The following is a 17,341-nucleotide window of genomic DNA, read 5'->3' on the forward strand; positions in this document are numbered from 1 at the left end:
ACTGTAGGGCCCGTAGCAGAGACTGCCAGCATCTCTGCTCTCCCATCTTCCTTTCTAATAGGCTGTTAATGGGTAGCATCTATGTGGCTAGCTGAAAGCTTACCTTTCCCAGTTTCTCTTACTGATGGGGGCTGCGGCCACTAGATGTGAACAAAGCCATCAAATAGGGTGTCCATGAAAGCTTCTAAGCAAGACTAAGCATGATGAGGTGCACACTTCGGCTGCTATCTCACCCTGACTTTCTGTTAGGTGGAATGTGGGTGTGATGGCAGCAGCCATGAAGTAAGGTTGAAGGGAAGAAAGAGGAGCCTGGGTCTCTGACTTGGGGGCTGCTCTAATATCACACTGAAACTGCCTAGTCCCTGAATTCTTCTTTGGGGGCCCCAAAGACCTATGTCTTATTTAAACCATGTGTCTTAGGGCAAGTCTCATAGAAACAGAGCCTCAGACCAGGATTCAGGTGTAAACTTACAAAAGAGAGTGAAGCACCAAGGGGAAGTAGGGGAGAAGAATGTGGCCCCACATGAAGCCTAATCTTGACCTGATCTGTGAGGATGTGGGGAATTCCAGAGCATAAACTGCCCAGGGAGTTGTCCTGCAGAGTCCTCACACTTTGAGGCAAAGGGGTGAGCCCTTCGTACTACATATGAGTCAGCCATTGGCTGTGGGCTACCTCCAGAAGGTGTTGCATGCAAAACTTTCTGGGGGAGGCCACTCTTGTCAGCTGGGACAGTTCTCCAGAGGAGAGGCACAGAGTGAGCAATCAGCCAGCGCCTCACAGAGGCTGGGGTCTGGGTATGCCAGCCCAGGGCACACCCAGGCCGGGCTGGATAGGGTGTTGTGGTGCCTTCTGTAGTCCTCCCTACACATTGCTCAGAACCACTTGCTTCTCATATGACATTCATTTTATCCAGTTATGGCCTCTCCAGGATTCTGGGTTCAAGAGTCCTGGGGATTTTTTTATTTTTTATTTTTTATTTTTTTGAGATGGAGTCTCACTCTGTCACCCAGGCTGGAGTGCAGTGGTATGATCTCGGCTGACTGCAACCTCTGCCTCCCGGGTTCAAGTGATTCTTCTGCCTCAGCCTCCCAGGTAGCTGGGATTACAGGCGCCCACCACCATGCCTGGCTAATTTTTATATTTTTAGTAGAGACGAGGTTTCACCATGTTGGCCAGGCTGGTCTCAAACTCCTGGCCTCAAGTGATCTTCCCGCCTCGGCCTCCCAAAGTGCTGGGATTACAGGCGTGAGTCACCACACCCAGCCGAGTCCTGGGAAATTTTTAAGAGAAGGATTAGTGGGATGAACTACAGCACCTGCTGCAGTAGTTAGTCCTGAGCTGAAACATACTCAACTCCTTTCTCTGCCCCCGATCCTAGACTCCTTTCCCTCTCCGCTAGCACTTCTCAGGTATAGGTGGCTTGCCTTAGGCTGATCCTCATCTCTAATATGTCTGAAGAGCTGGTTATCATGCCTTTATCAGGCTGTGCTTGATCAACTTTCCCATTTAGAGTAAGAGTTAGGCACAGGAGTATCAAGAGATGCTCCAGTATTAGGAGAAGCTCTTCTAATGAGCAGGGGAAATAATTTATTAACCACACACCACAGACCCAAGGCTGTGCTCACCTGTTTCAGTAAAGGTATCACATTCAGCACAGAAGACCCAGTGGAGACTTCTGCTTGGGAAATTTATTGTTTAACCCACTATTGTTTTGCCAGGGTCCATTTTTTTTTTTTTTTTGGCAGGGATGAGACTGATTAATTATGTAAGATTATGAGGGAGACTATCATTCCTACATCCTTTATGTCTTTTTTGGGTTAGGGGGAGACAGGGTCTTACTCTGTCACCGAGGCTGGAGTGCAGTGGCATAATCACAGCTCACTGCAGCCTCGATCTCCCAGGTTCTAGCAATTCTCCTACCTCAGCCTCCTGAGTAACTGGGACTACAGGCATGCGCCACCAAGCCTGGTTAAATTTTTAAATTTTTGTAGCGATGAGGTCTCTATGTTGCCCAGGCTGGTCTCAAACTCCTGGGATCAAGCAATCCTCCCATCTTGGCCCCCAATAGTGCCAAGATTATACCTTTATGTCTTTGAGAATGATGTTAATCTGTCATGCCACCTGTGTGCAATGCTGTTTTTGATTTATCATCTTAGCTAGACATGGGAGTAGTTTTTGTGGCTATAGCCTAATCTTTCCTATTATGATAGTTCTTATCCTACAGGTTAAGAAAGAAATGTGAAGGTTCTGCCAACTGCTAATTGTGTCCTTTCTAATAAAACACTTGGGATCTAGGGACATGACCACCAGTTGGTCTGTAGATCCAGGGTCTTGGATCTACAGACCAACTGGTGGTCATGGGAGAGACTTAAGAAACCTGAGCTAGAAATCCATTTATTATTTACTTAATCCCTGAGTCTCATAGGTAGGACATAATACTGCTTCACTTCTTTGGATATCAGTAATTAATATCAGTATTAATTAACCCAGACCCTGTATCCAGCAGCCCTCAAATGAATTGAATAGTCCCTTTACCCCAGTGTTTTGTCACCCAAGAAAATGGTGATAGGTATTTCTGGGGAAGAGCTGGTTGAAATCACTGCTATATATACTTCTCGTGATGTTGCAGTGTCTTTTCCTCATAGGAGACTTGCCTACTTCTTCAGTCAATGGGTTCTGGGTGTGAGAATGCTCAGGCCTGGAAACTGGACAGGGATCATAATTATCCATTGAGGTGACCAATTACATTGCCCCTAGGAACATCACGTTTTACAAGCCAACGCCATAGAATCCTGCAGGCCAGAGTATGGCTCACCCCTGTAGCTGCCATTCTAACCTTGCCGCTGATTATGGTAATTACGTCTACTGTTTTTGATGTTGAAGTGCTGCCACCTGGCGTCAGTATGTAATCTATCTCCCATTGCTATTAGAAAACCCAGTTTTGCAATAGCGTTTCCTATTGTCAGTGTAAGCCTCAGATGCCACCACTGATGAACTATGAATGATGCTGGTCCCCTCCCCTCCAAACACAAGCAAGTGAGTGATTGTGAGAATAATACTGGCCGTTGCTTTCATTGGAGCAGTGCTGTGAGTACTGCATTTCTTAATTCTTTAGTAAAATGAAACGTCCTCTGAGCCCTTCTGAGGAACTTAATCAGCCAGTAGGTTTTCTAATATGTAGTAGAAACATTCTAGTATACCCACTTCTCTGTGCCTGTTGATTCTATTCTCCACAGTTTGCCAAGGCAATTCTGCTATCTCTATTTTTAAGGTTGGCTATGTCTTTTTCCAAGTTTTCAAATATCACCTTGGCAAAATATTAGAACCTTCTCCCAGAGTCTTTTCAGTGTGTTAAATCTTGCCTGAGAATACTGTCCCATACCAACAAATCCTCTTACCTAACTTTATAATCCATTCCTCTCCACCTTTATCTAACACAAAGATTCTCTAGGTTCCAGAACGTGTAAACCACATTTATGGTTCCACTGGCTGAGACTCCATCTTCTCTTTTAGCATATCCGTAACTTTTCCAGTTGGGTCATGATGAGATGTTACATGAGTTATTGATCTGGTGCCTAGAAAGGAGGTTAGGATAGATCCTGAGAAAAGCCAGCATTGCATTTTAAGGGACCTACTGCACTTAGGGTTTCTTCACAGCCATCAAGTAAGGGAAAATGGGCCACTTGTGTAATCCCAAAGGATTCAGGATTATCTTGGCATTCTTGTTGTTCAACGTATCTAAGAACACATATGCAAATAACCTCATCCCAAGTAGGAGACATCTTTTCTTATCAGGGGCCTCACTTTGGCATAAAAGACGTGTCTAAAATAAGAATTCGGTCTTCTCTGAAGTTCTGCCTCTTCTAAAATTAATCCCTGTGCCTAATTTTTAGCTGTCTACCCTCTAGCTGCAGGAGATGAGGGTCATTTTTTAAATGTTACTGAGCCATATTTTACATATCATATAATTTGCCTATTTTAATTCACACACCATATACACCATTCACACAATTCAATAATTTCTTTTTTAGTGAATTTACCAGGTGCTAAATTTATATCATCATAAACCTTTTTTCGAGCATTTCCATCACTTCAATAGGATCATACATGTCCATTAACTTTTAGCAAGAAGTTAGGAGGATCTTCTCAAACTCTGTTGAGCCAGCTATAGCTTACCGCTGAGCACATTCAGAGAGCTAATGTACTTCCACTTGAATATGATTCCAGACCAGATGGAGTAAATGGAACAGCCAGGGGCTCTATGACTGACCAGTATTAGGGTACCTTCTTGAGCAAAACACCAGCAAGTGGGTGATTGTGAGAATAATACAGGCCATTGCTTTCACTAGACCAGTGCTATTAGCGGTGGTCCACAAACACAGAGATGCTCAGCTACTGGCTCCTAAACCTGAAGGAGCATCAGACTCAGCAGAGAAATGTATCAGAAATATGTGTGCTTAAGTTCTGCTGCCAGAGATTTTGATTTACTAGGTTAAGGGGTACAGAGATTTATATCCTCAGCAGAATCCCATGGTGATTCACATGACCCATCAGATTTGGGAGTTGTTATTCTGGGTTGTGTATGTTTGCTTTTTTGTAATATCCATATATTTTTTTCTAGGAAGCATAGTTGTGTTAATAGTATTGAGTCAGAAACGGTTGGATATAATAATTTTTTATTCATGGTTTCTGGACAGAAAACAAAACTCAGTTATTGGTTACTTCATACTCTTGTGCAGAGAGGAGATGTATATCTATTTTCTGAAATAGAAAAGTATTAGCTTTGCCCTCAAGGAGCTAGATCTGTAATGCTTCAGTTTGTTGAATTAATGACTATAAATATAAGGCAGGCAAGAATGACTTGCGAAGATGCTCTGACCCAAAGGTAAGGAAGCTGAAGTTCACGCATATTAGAAGCATAGAATAGGATCTGAAATTTCCTGGAAAGTTGTCACCTCCATTGATAATCCACTAATGAGCCCAGGTCATTTTTTTATGGTTCTGTCCAGCTTCAGGATCTCACAACTCTGATTAAGCAATGCAGTTGCTTAGAATGGAGGGGAATATTTGATCATAACACTGGTCAAGCATGAACATCCTCACACTGGCCAACTGGAAATGTGTGAATGCTCACTAAAGAAAAGCCTTTAACTCTTTAACTCTTTCTAACCCCACATCAGATTTCTCAGCAGATCCTCACATCTCTTTCTTGGAAATATACCCAGAACTGGGCCATATTTTCACCTTTTCTCCTGCAAACACTTTGATCAGTGTCTCCATTACCTTTTTCTGGAATGATCACAATAACCTTCTAACTGGACTCCCTTCATCCCTGGCATCCCCCTAAAGACATACACACATACATACACACATACATACATACACACACAAACACACAGAGACCCACACACAGACATACACACACATAATTGTTATTAGGGCAGACAAACTGATTTTATGAAAATACAGTCTCTATTTGAAATCTTCCAATAGCTCTGCACCTCACTCAGAATAAAAGTCAATGTCATTATCATGATCACAGGCCCCCAATTACTTCAACAAGCTCATATCCTGTTACTGTTTCTCATGCTCATTCTGCTGTAGTCAGAACAATGGCAAGCTGTCTGTTTATTGAACATACTAGGTGAGTTCCTATCTCAAGGCGTTTGTACTGTGGTTTCCTCTGTCTGGAATGTTCTTTACCAGATATCTGCATGGGTCACTTCTTCAGTTCTTTTATTCTGCCATCACCATCTCACTGAAGTCTTCCTTGTCCATCTTATCTAAAATTTTAATTCTAAGATTTAACCTAAGAATACTTTTTATTCCCTTTTTGTGTTCTATTTTTTATTCTTTTTGAGACAGTGTCGCTCTGTCGCCCAGGCTGGAGTGCAGTGGCATGATCTTGGCTCACTGCAAGCTCCGCCTCCTGGGTTCACGCCATTCTCCTGCCTTAGCCTCCCGTTTTTGTGCTCTATTTTACACCTTCAGTACCTAACATTATTTATTCTAGTATATATTTTACTTATGTATCTTATTTACTGTCTATCTCATCAACTAGACTAATGAAAGCTCTATCAGGACAGAACAGTGCCCAGTTCCAGGTGCTCAGGAATTACTGGAATTGAAAATTATCTGTTATATGATTATCACCTCACCATTTAACCTTAGAATTTCTTAGTTTGTGTTGTGAGTGTGATAAAATAGGAGTTTCTTTCCAAGAACTCAAAAAAGTAGAATGGATCACTGAAAGCTTGGGAAGATTGGATTTTGTAATCAAGCCTGTTCATGTCATAAACCTCTGACTTCAGCAATCAGGGTGCAAATGCTGTAATAAACTCTAATATCATTTTAGTCCAGTCTTATATTTAAAAAAAAAAATGAGGCTCAGAGCAAAGAAGTCACTTGCTAAAGATCACCTAAAGTGAGTGGCATTTGCTGATGTAGAACTTGATCTCCTCAATTGCAGTGAGGTGCTCTGTCAACTAAGCCTTTCTTAGTCTTTTGTTTATAAGCTAATATTTTTGGTCACTTTTGAAATGAGATATTACTAAAATAACCAACAACTGTTATTCTTCAGAAGAAAAGTATTTTGAACTTTACCAAAACCCCACTTAGCCTTTCTTACATAACTGTTTTATACACCTTAGGTTCGTGCAAAAGTAATTGCTGTTGCAGACCGTGAATTTAAAATCATTATAACCAGGTTCAAACACGTCTTTATTAACAAAAATAGGAACCATTACAATCGATATATTTTTGCCAATGAGAAACATTTATTTATTCCTGTAGCATAAAAATCCATGCTTTGGGATTCAAGGAACTCTCAGAATTTTCTGTATGCTGCTGGTTGTGGAAGCATTTTCCCTGCAAAAAGTTGCTGAGATGCTTGAAGAAGTGATAGTTTGTTGGTGAGAAGTCAGGTAAATATAGGAGATGAGACAAAACTTTGTAGCCCAACTCATTCACTTTTGAAGCATTGGTTGTGTGATGTGGGATCAGGCATTGTTGTGGAGAAGAACTGGGCTCTTTCTGTTGACCAATGCCAACTGCAAGTTCCCCTCTGTCACCAGGCTGGAATGCAGTGGCATGATCAACCCTCAAGGCAACCTAAAACTCCTGGGCTCAAATGATCCTCCCTGCCTTAGCCTCCCAAGTAGCTAGGACTATAGATGTGTGCCACCATGCCTGGCTAACTTTTCAATTTTTTGTAGAGACAAGGTCTTCTTATATTGGCCAGGCTTGTTTTAAACTGCTGGCCTCAAGCAATCTTCCTGCTTCAGCCTCCCCATGATGATTAATGAGCAGAGAACATGTCTTAGAGGATAAAAGCAGAATTAAGAAAACCAGTTAGAATATAGGAAAAAAGTGAAAGAGAAGATGGTGACTTGGAGGAAGGAAGTTACAGTAGAGATGTAGAAACCACGTCATATAGGTATCATACTTACCACTGGTTCAGCAACCAGATAACATAGAGCAGTTGAAACCATACAAACTCTTGCTGGTATGACAAAAGGTCAAAATGGCTGCTAGATTTGGTCAAGTCCATCAAAATGGGAAATGTTATGTATCTAGTTCAAAAGCAGATTTCATGAATTGCTGGTCCAAAATGTTGTTCTCTGGCCAAATAAGTGTGGAAAACAGACCCAATAGATGTCCCTTCAGAGATACACAGTACACATTAGCATATTGAAAATTCTGAGCAGTCCAGCAGTAAAAAATACTTTGAACAAAACACTCACTGGTAGTAGCCTGAGGGACATGGCTTTGAACAAACTGATATGATAGAGAACCACAATAAGACACCATCATGCTCTGCCATCACTACCTTTATTTTCTGTGATATTGGACACATAATTTTTCCTGTCAGAACCTCTGTGCTATGGTTTAAATGTGTCTCCCAAAAGTTCATGTGTTGGAAACTTAATCCCTCTGCTCTCACGAATGGGTTAATATTGCTATCACAGGAGTGGGTTTATTATTTTGTGAGTGGCTTTGTTATAAAAGCAAGTTCTCTTTGGCTCTCATGCTCTTGCCCTCACACCATGTAAGGTCTTCTGCCATGTTATGACAAGCAAGAAGGCCCCCAAAAGATGCCAGCACCATCTGGACTTGGATTCTCCAGCCTCCATGAGATAAGTACATTTCTTTGCTTTATAAATTACCCAGTCTGTAATACTTTGTTACAGCAACAGAAAACAAACTAAGACACTCAGTTTTCCCATTAATAAAATATGAGGTCAGAATAATTGTTCATTTACTTTCTTTAATCAAGTTGGTTAATGTAAAGCTGTTTTTGTGTAAATCCTGAAAGGGTACTTGCTTTGGATAAAGTTGCCAACTCTGTTTAAATGATCGTTTGGCAGTACTGCTTCAGTCCACCCTTTATCTCCCGAGTCAATCATGACTTGCTCTCTTATACTCTGTGAGCATTTTCTATCATCTTTTGAAGACAATTAATAACTAGATCAGAATGGCTGCTGACCTAAGGTCTGACTCTCCCTAGAGAAGAATTATAAAACTGTGAAGTTGGGTCAGAGATCGATTTGATTTAGAATAGAGCTGATACACTTAGATGTTACTAGGCAACTGCACAGGGTGGGATGGAAGATATATTGATACTCAGACTGTGCCTTGTAATCCCATTTGCTTCAAATCTCAAGGGATACATTTCTTAGCCAAAAACATTGAGTATTGAAAAACATTCCTTTGTTGTTCAAAGATTTTGCCGTACTCGAAAACAATAAACATGCGAGCCATGTTTCTCTATGTGAATGTCATATTAGCTTTACTTACCATAAAATCCATCCTTTCTTTCTCCCTTCATTTTTCATCTTTAAAAGAGGCCATCAGTTTATTTCTCAGGGCCTTGAACATTTCCAAGCTATACCTTTGGAAACCACCAGCAAGCCTGAGGAATAGGCAGAACAAAGGAAGAACAGCAGGAGGCTTGTAGAGGGGTTAAAAGGCCATGGATGAATGACAGTAGGACAGAGGATAAGAATGAGAAACGTAAGAGGAACAATAAATGAAGAAGCAAACTCAATTTGGAGATGGAAAGAGTAAGCATTTTTCAGATTGATGTTAATGATTTCAGTTTGAAGAGACATAAGGGGTACTAAACCAAGCCCACTGGGGTCCGATCCCTTTTTTTGTTACCTAATATGGTAACAATAGAAGAAAAGATACTGCTGGGCATGACAGCTCACTCCTGTAATCCCAGCACTTTGGGAGCCTGAGGCAGGCTGATTGCTTGAGGCCAGGAGTTCGAGACCTGCCTGGCCAACGTGGCAAAACCCCATCACTACTACAAATATAAAAATTAGCCAGGCGTGGTGGTGCACGCCGATAATCCTAGTTACTCTGGAGGCTGAGGCATGAAAATCCCTTGAACCCGGGAGGCAAAGATTGCAGGGAGCTGTGACTGTGCCACTGTACTCCAGCCTGGGTGATACAGCGAGACTCTGTTTAAAAAAAAAAAAAAAGAAAAAGAAGAAAAGATACTAAACAATCTATATTCTTACAAAAGAATTTTCTAAGTTCAATGTCAAATTTGGTAGCTCAGTGTCTGGGCTTCTCTTCGGATCCCAGTTATCAGTTTGGGAAAGAAAGTGGGTATGGCATGAGAAGCATGGAGAGGAAAAGGGTTACACTGGAGAGGAGAAAATCCACCAGGCATAGAAGAAATGAATATATTGGGAATGCAAGGACAGGAGACAGAAAATAAAGAGACATGAGGGAGTTCAATTTTAGCAGGAGTTTTAGGGAGGTTGCAAGTAATGGGGCAGAAAAGAGGCTTTGGAGAATGTGTGAGATTAAAAAAAAAACATATGGTAAGTGTAAAGACAGAAAGAAGATTTTAAGGAATATTTTTGTGGACTGAATTGAAGCTCCTTGTATAACTTTTTTGAGGAACCCCAGTAAGGATTGCAGTCACTTGTAATTGCTTCTGATCGCTCATTCCTGAATATGACATAGAACGAAGCCTAGAGGGTGTGCCACCACAATTTATATTAAGATCACACAAAGGGTAGAAAGGAGTGGAAAAGATAAGAGGAGTGAATGGGAAGAGTACATAGATAAAGGTAAGTGCACAGCAAAGGAACTGTAACATGTTTTCTATCTTCATAAAATACTTAAAATTCTAAACAAGAGAATTTGTGTTAGATCTAACTGCACTTTCTGGTTGTAAAAGTTGTACTATGAAAGCTGTTTGATATTCACCTAATTTGGCAAATCTTGTTTTTTGCCTTGTTAAGGAAATGTTGACTCTGGCCTACTTTGAGAAGAACACATCTCTCTGAGAAAAGAATAAATTGAACACATTTCCTGATCTTAGTATTTGTGATTCAGTGATCCTGTACCTTTGAAACAAATTTTAGTATAGTAAATACCGATTGTCCACTCTCATCCCAGTATACCATTTTCACTGGCTTTGGCCTCCTGAGATTTATTTTTCATCAATGTTCTTGATATTGCTTTCTGTCTTACTTCCTAAGCTGCGTTCAAAGAGGCTGGGTATAATGAAATCACCATCCTATTTCTATTCATGTTAAATGTCATCCAGGGCCATTCAGTGACAGCTATAACCATGCCAGAACTCTGTGTTTGGTCGAAGTACCAGTTACTTGACCAGGCATTGTGGGTTTTTGTTTGTTTTTAGATTTTTTTTTTTTTTTTTTTTTTTTTTTTTTTGAGATGGAGTCTTGCTCTGTTGCCTAGGCTGGAGTACAGTAGCCTGATCTGGGCTCACTGCAACTTCCGCCCCCAGGTTCAAGCGATTCTCCTGCCTCAGCCTCCATAGTAGCTGGGATTACAGGTGCCCACCATCACGCCCAGCTAATTTTTGTATTTTTAGTACAGACAGGGTTTCACCATGTTGGCCAGGCTGGTCTTGAATTCCTGACCTCAAGTGATCTGCCTGCCTCGGCCTCCCAAAGTGCTGGGATTGCAGGCATGAGCCACCACATCCAGCCAATGACCAAATACTGTTTTAAGAAAAGTGTCAGCATACAGAATTGTTTAGCAAGTGTGTTTCATAGGACACTGAGCCTTCAGGATACTTTTTGGCAAAAGTGTTTCTTAGTCAAACAGTTTGATGTGCACTGTGCATAGTGCTGGTATAAGATAATAGCTGTGGGGCTAAAAGTGAAGGGACTAGATTTCTGGTACTAAGCATGCTCTTAATACTGTTACCTTGTCAAGCAGCTGAAACTCTGAGACTGTAAAATAGAGGTCACACTTTGTCCTCTTCCCATCATAGGGTTACAGCCTGTAGTTTGGTTGTATTCTTTAAAGTCCTGTCTCTATGGTCAGTGAGCGTATATTAGAATTCCCACCCTGCTATCTAAAGCTACGTGACTAGGTCAAGTTACTAAACTTATTCAAGCCTCATTTATTCTTAGGTGTATATAATATTTATCTTGTAGAGTTGTTAGGCTTGAATTAAATAGTTGATATAAAAGAATTATTGTAGCACTACTTAAATAGTTATTAGGCCAATCATCATTAATGGCAACAATATAATCAACAGCAAGCCTGAAATATTATGTTAAGAAACGTTAGTAATAGTAGCTGTACCAGCAGCAGTAGTAACTGTTGATTGAACACTTACTTTCAAACACTGTTCTCAGAGCTTTACTTATTTACTCCTCACACAACCCCTGTAAGTTATCTTATCCCCATTTTACTGAGAAGAATGCTGTGGTTCAAAGAGCTTAAACTTGTTCAAGGTCTCACTGTCAGTGGCAGACTAAAATATGCTCCCTTTCTTTTAGGCGCTAGAGGCTTTTAACCTAACTTCTCTTCCCAAGTTAAGTGAGGCCGTTTCACCTACCCCTTAGATGCTGTTAGTCTCTGTCTTCTAGCTATACGAGGACTTTAAGGGGGAAAAGCTTGTAGTTCTCTTCAGAGTTCACCAGCAAGTCATTGAGAATGGAAATCAAAGTAGTAGACAGGAGTAAGAAGTGTTAGAAGCACTTGTGTTTCCCTACTGCTTTTCTTCTTCCTCAATGGCAATTTTTATTTGAATGTTTAATTGTAATTGTGATAGTGCTGTATCTTGACTATAAAAAAATGTGTATAAGTACTGATTATTGATTTTAAAAATTGGATGACACTGAGTTCTCAGAAAGGTTATTGCATTGTGAAGTCCATAAAAGGAGGGGCTGAGACCTTCTATTGAGCATGTAGTACATATTCTGGAAATGTTGGAGAGAGGGTTTCAAACCTTATAGGTCCTAGAAAAAAAATGGGCAAGATTGCCATCTAGTGGACTCTGAATCACCTTCAGCTAAAAAAAAAAAAAAAAAGTCAGGTTTGGTTTTGTGAAAACTATCTAAAATAAGTGATATTAATGGGTGATTTATTTAAATATACAACAGAGGTCAGACCAATATTCCAGATGAATTCTGAGTCGGCAAGTATCAAAGAGAAGACCAAGGGATATCTTGGGGTTTCAGATGCACAGGATGTTGGCACTAAAGAGAACCAGAGATTAACATCTTCAACCTCCTCTCTTACAGCCCAGAAAAGGGCAGCAATGCGTTAGGGTCACACAGGTATGATGACTTATACCCAGGCCTCCCAAGTCCATGTTCAATGCTCAGACCTTTCTATCCTTGTAGCAGAGCATTCTCTCTCTCTCTCTCTTTCTTTCTCTCTCTCTCTCTCTCTTTCTCTCTCTTTCTCTCTTTCTTTCTTTCTTTCTTTCTTTCTTTCTTTCTTTCTTTCTTTCTTTCTTTCTTTCTTTCTTTCTTTCTTTCTTTCTTTCTTTCTTTCTTTCTTTCTTTCTTTCTTTCTTTCTTTCTTTCTTTCTTTCTTTCTTTCTTTCTTTCTTTCTTTCTTTCTTTCTTTCTTTCCAGTTTTTTGTTTGTTGAGACTGGCTCTGTCACCCAGGCTGGAGTGCAACAGCTGATCTCAGCTCACTGCAACCTCCGCCTCCCAGGTTCAAGCGATTCTCCTGCCTCAGCCTCCCAAGTAGCTGGGATTACAGGTGCCTGCCACCACACTTGGCTGATTTTTGTATTTTTAGTAGAGATGAGGTTTCACCACGTTGGCCAGGCTGGTCTTGAACTCCTGACCTCAGGTGATCCAACTGCCTTGGCCTCCCAAAGTACTGGGATTACAGGCATGAGCCACTGCACCTGGCCTAAGTGTTGTCTTTCATAACACTCACAAAAAAAAAAAAATGAAAAGGAATCCATTCCAAATTGTATAAATTTTCTCGAACTAGCCTCTCTAGATTCATAGTTACAAAAGGAGATGAATGTCAGTGGTAAATTTTTCCAGGTATTCAGGGAAACGTCCAGGAAGCTATTATCACACACCATGGAAGCACTACTTACCTCAGGGTATTTGACTTATCAGTATCTTACTGTAGGTTCAAAAAAATCTCTCTACCTGCTGTTTAGAGATGTGTTAAATACATATGCATGATGATTAGGTTATGGAAGTTTTATGATTTCATGGGTTTTTATCTCATTTCTATTCAGCTATTAAGTTTTGACCTTTGTTCCTATTTCCCATAAATAAAATAAATTAGAGGGGAGAGGAAATTGGAGGGGAGATGAAAAAAGTTTTACTACCTGTAACTGCCAGGTTAGATATTTAAGGATACTGGAGTAGTGTACCATTTATTTTGAGTTACGGCTCTTCTCCTTCCAGGCTGCATTATTTGGGGTCTGCTTGTCTTTACATTTCTGGAATAGAGACAGTAAAAATGTGCTATTCAGCTCAAGGTTCTTGGAAGATTTAAGACAGATGAAGCATACAGAAAGTCAAATATTGCATGTTCTCACTCATGAGTGGGAGCTAAAAAGTGTGTACACATGGATGTAGAGAGTGAAATGGTGGACAGTGGAAACTCAGAAGTGGGACAGGATGTGTTAGAGGTGGATGATGAGAAATTACTTAATGTGTACAATGAATGTCATTTGGGTCATGGATAGTCTAAAAGTCCTGACTATGCAAACTTTATTGGGTACAAAATTGTATGTGTACCCCATAAATTTATATAAATAAAAAGTAGAGATGAAGCGTAATAAAGCACTCTATAGGCATAGTCTCTCTCTTCTCTCTTGCTTCCTTTCTTTCCTTTTTCCTCCCTTCTCTCTGTTGGAAGAAATATTTTTTTTAATTCAGCTGTCCTTTTTACTGTTTAATTTCAAATCTGCAGAAAAGTTGAAAAATCATTCACTGTGTACCCAAATACACTTCTAGATTTACCAGTTGTTAACATCGGTAAATCTTAACATTGATAAATGTTATATACCTCATTTGAAAGTTGTATACCTCGTAATCTCCATTCCTAAATTCTTCTGCATGTATCTCCTAAAAATGACAGTTTTTCATACATCCATAATCCCATAAACACAACTAAGAAAATTAATAATTTCATAATGTTGTCTAATAACATTTACATTCAAATTTCTTTAATTCTCCTGAATATTTTCACATTAAATATTTTTAAATCCAAGATTCAACCACGGTTAATGTATTGCATTTGGTTGTTCAATCTCTGAGTTTTGTAATCTAGAATAGTACTCCTAAAACCAAATGTTTTATTTTTTATGATGTTGACTTTCTGAAGAGTGGGCAAATTGTCTTGTAGAATGGCCCACATTCTGGATTTATGATTTTTGCTTATAACTAGATTCAAGTTAAATATTTTTAGTTATAATACTGCAGAGGCAATATGTATACTTCTTACTGTGTCTAATGAGGAGGTATATTTCAACTATTGGTGATATAAACTTGATCGCTTGGTTAAGCTGGAGACTCCTTAATCATAAAGGTATATATACTCAGTTACACTTAGTAATTTGTGGGGTGATATTTTGAAACTGTAAACATTCTGTATGCAAATATATTTTGGCCCCAAAGTTTTACACACCTATTGATGAACAAACTTTTACTGAATCAGTTATTACCAGGGAGGTTGAAGAATGGTAATTTTCCTCTTTTTTCCTGCATTGATTATCTGGCTGTCTTTTAAAAGAGCTTTGTTTGTTGTTGTTTTACTTTTTTGGTATTACTATGGACCCAAGATTTTGAAATTTTTATTCGAAGTGTTTTATTGCCATCCTTATCTTTTTACCCAATCCCGTGTTGTCTGAAATGTGGTCAATGTGAGCCCCGATGGGCTGGTTGCTCTGCTCTTCCGGGTATTTGAGGTACTTCTTGCTTTCTGGCACAAGGTGCCCCAGACCCTTCCTGTATCATTTCTAACCTAACCTGGAATTAGCAGTAAAAGGAATGGAGCATGATATTTAGAAACTGAGATCTGAATACTAGATGAAACTCTATGCAAATATTTTTAAGACCCTGGTGTTGATGTAAAATAAGATGTAGAGAATTATCCAGCCAAATTTGTGTACTTAATGCCAAATGATCCTTCTTTCTGGTTAAATCATCATCCTTCAATTTAGTTTAACTATTTCCTCAAAAAATATCAGAAAAGTCCTAGGTCCCTAAGGATTATAATCATTTCCCCATTACACACATGCCCTTGGAGCCCTAAACTACTTCTCTATACTCATTATACTTCTAACTATTCAGAGTCAGTCTCACCTGAAAGCTCATCTTGGGAAGAATCTGCTTCCACGCTCACATGGTTGTTAGCTGCATTCAATTCTTTGCAGGCTGCTGGACCACGAACTTCAGTTTCTTGCTGGTTGTTGGCCAGAGGCCACCTTGAAGTTCCTTACCATGTGGCATTCTCCATAGGGTATCTTATAACATGGTAGCTTGCTTCTTGAAGGCCAGAAGGGAGGAGAGCTTTAACAAGAAGTACATTACAACCTTACGTAATCAAGAAAGTGACATCTTATCACCTTTACTGTATTGTACTGGTGATGAGATGTCATCACCAGCAAGTCATAAATCCAACCCACAGGCCGGGTGTGATGGCTCATGCCTATTATCCCAGCAATTTGGGAGGCCAAAGCGAGTGGATCACTTGAGGTCAGGAGTTCGAGACCAGCCTGGCCAACATGGCAAAACCCTGTCTCTACTGAAAATACAAAAATTAGACAGGCATGGTGGCGCATGCCTGCGGTCCCAGCTACTAGGGAGGAAGAAGTGAGAGAATTGCTTGAACCCGGGAGGCAGAGGTTGCAGTGAGCCGAAATTACGCCATTGCACTCCAGCCTGGGTGACACAGTGAGATTCCATCTCAAATCAATCAGTCAGTCTAACCCACATTCAAGGGGAAGGGATAACACAGGGTGAGAAGACCAGAAGGTGGGGATTATGGCAGCACCCATAAAGTCTGTCCAACACACTCATGGATTTGCCATTCTCATGTGGGGTCTCAGAGGATACACATGCAAAATACAATATCAGATGACTATAAACATGTAAAGATAATGAACAGAGTGATAAGATGAAGAGTCACTGGAGAGGGCAGCTTAGGCCAGTACCCTGGGGGGGAGACTATAAGATGGGTTTAAGAGGTAGGTGGTGACCAGGTTATTTGGGGTTTATAGACCATATAATAAAGATTTGATTTTAATTACAATTTGAAGCTAGTAAAGGGAGGCCACTATGGAGGGTGAGAAGATCCAATTTCTGCTCTAGTAGGATTCACTCTGACTTCTGTTTTGTGAATGCACTGAGAAGGAAGAGTGGAAGCAAGGAGACCAGTTGGGGGACTGTAGTGACAATCCAGTTGATAGATGAGGATGGAGAGGCAAGGTGATAGCAGTGGATTTGGTGAGAAGTGCTCAGATCCCAAGTATATATTGAAGGCAGAGTCTATGGGATTTCCTATTGGGTGAAATAAGTGACAGGCCAAGAAAGGGTATGTCTATTGGGTTTGAGTTTTGTGTGGATGATTTGAAGGGCGGGTGGATACAAAGAATCAGTGTAATTGAACATTTTTTTAGATAGACTTTATTTTTGGAGTAGTTTCATATTCACAGCAAAATTGAGTAGAAAACAGAGTTCCCATACACCCCCTCCTTCCCACAGCTGCCTCCACCACCAGCATTCTCAGCCACAGTGGCATGTTTGTTAAAATTGATAAATCTACAATGACAATCATTATCACTCAAAATCCACAATTTACATTAGGGCTAGCGCCTAGTGTTATATGTTCTATGGGGTTGAACAATTATATGATAACATATATCTACCATTACAGTATTATACAGAGTAGTTCCACTGCCCTAAGAATCCTCTGTCTCTACCTATTTATCCCTTCTTTCCTGTAACTCCTGGAAACCACTGAGGTTTCAAATACCTGCTTAGTCGTATCTATTCCAGAATGTCATGTGTTGGAATCATACAGCATGTAGGCTTCTCATATTGGCTTCTTTCACTTAGTAATATGCACTTAAG

General features: G+C 40.2%; 1 annotated feature.

The window, feature by feature from the left end:
• Positions 8,733-9,337: an enhancer, noted in NCBI's record as "NANOG hESC enhancer chr5:151891040-151891644 (GRCh37/hg19 assembly coordinates)". NCBI's record gives its function as "activates a minimal SCP1, AML or CMV promoter by ChIP-STARR-seq in primed H9 embryonic stem cells {active_cell/tissue: H9 hESC(primed)}" and the evidence as "EXISTENCE:reporter gene assay evidence [ECO:0000049][PMID:30033119]".

This window comes from Homo sapiens, chromosome 5 (genome assembly GCF_000001405.40).
Source record: "Homo sapiens chromosome 5, GRCh38.p14 Primary Assembly".
Classification (NCBI taxonomy): Eukaryota; Metazoa; Chordata; class Mammalia; order Primates; family Hominidae; genus Homo; species Homo sapiens.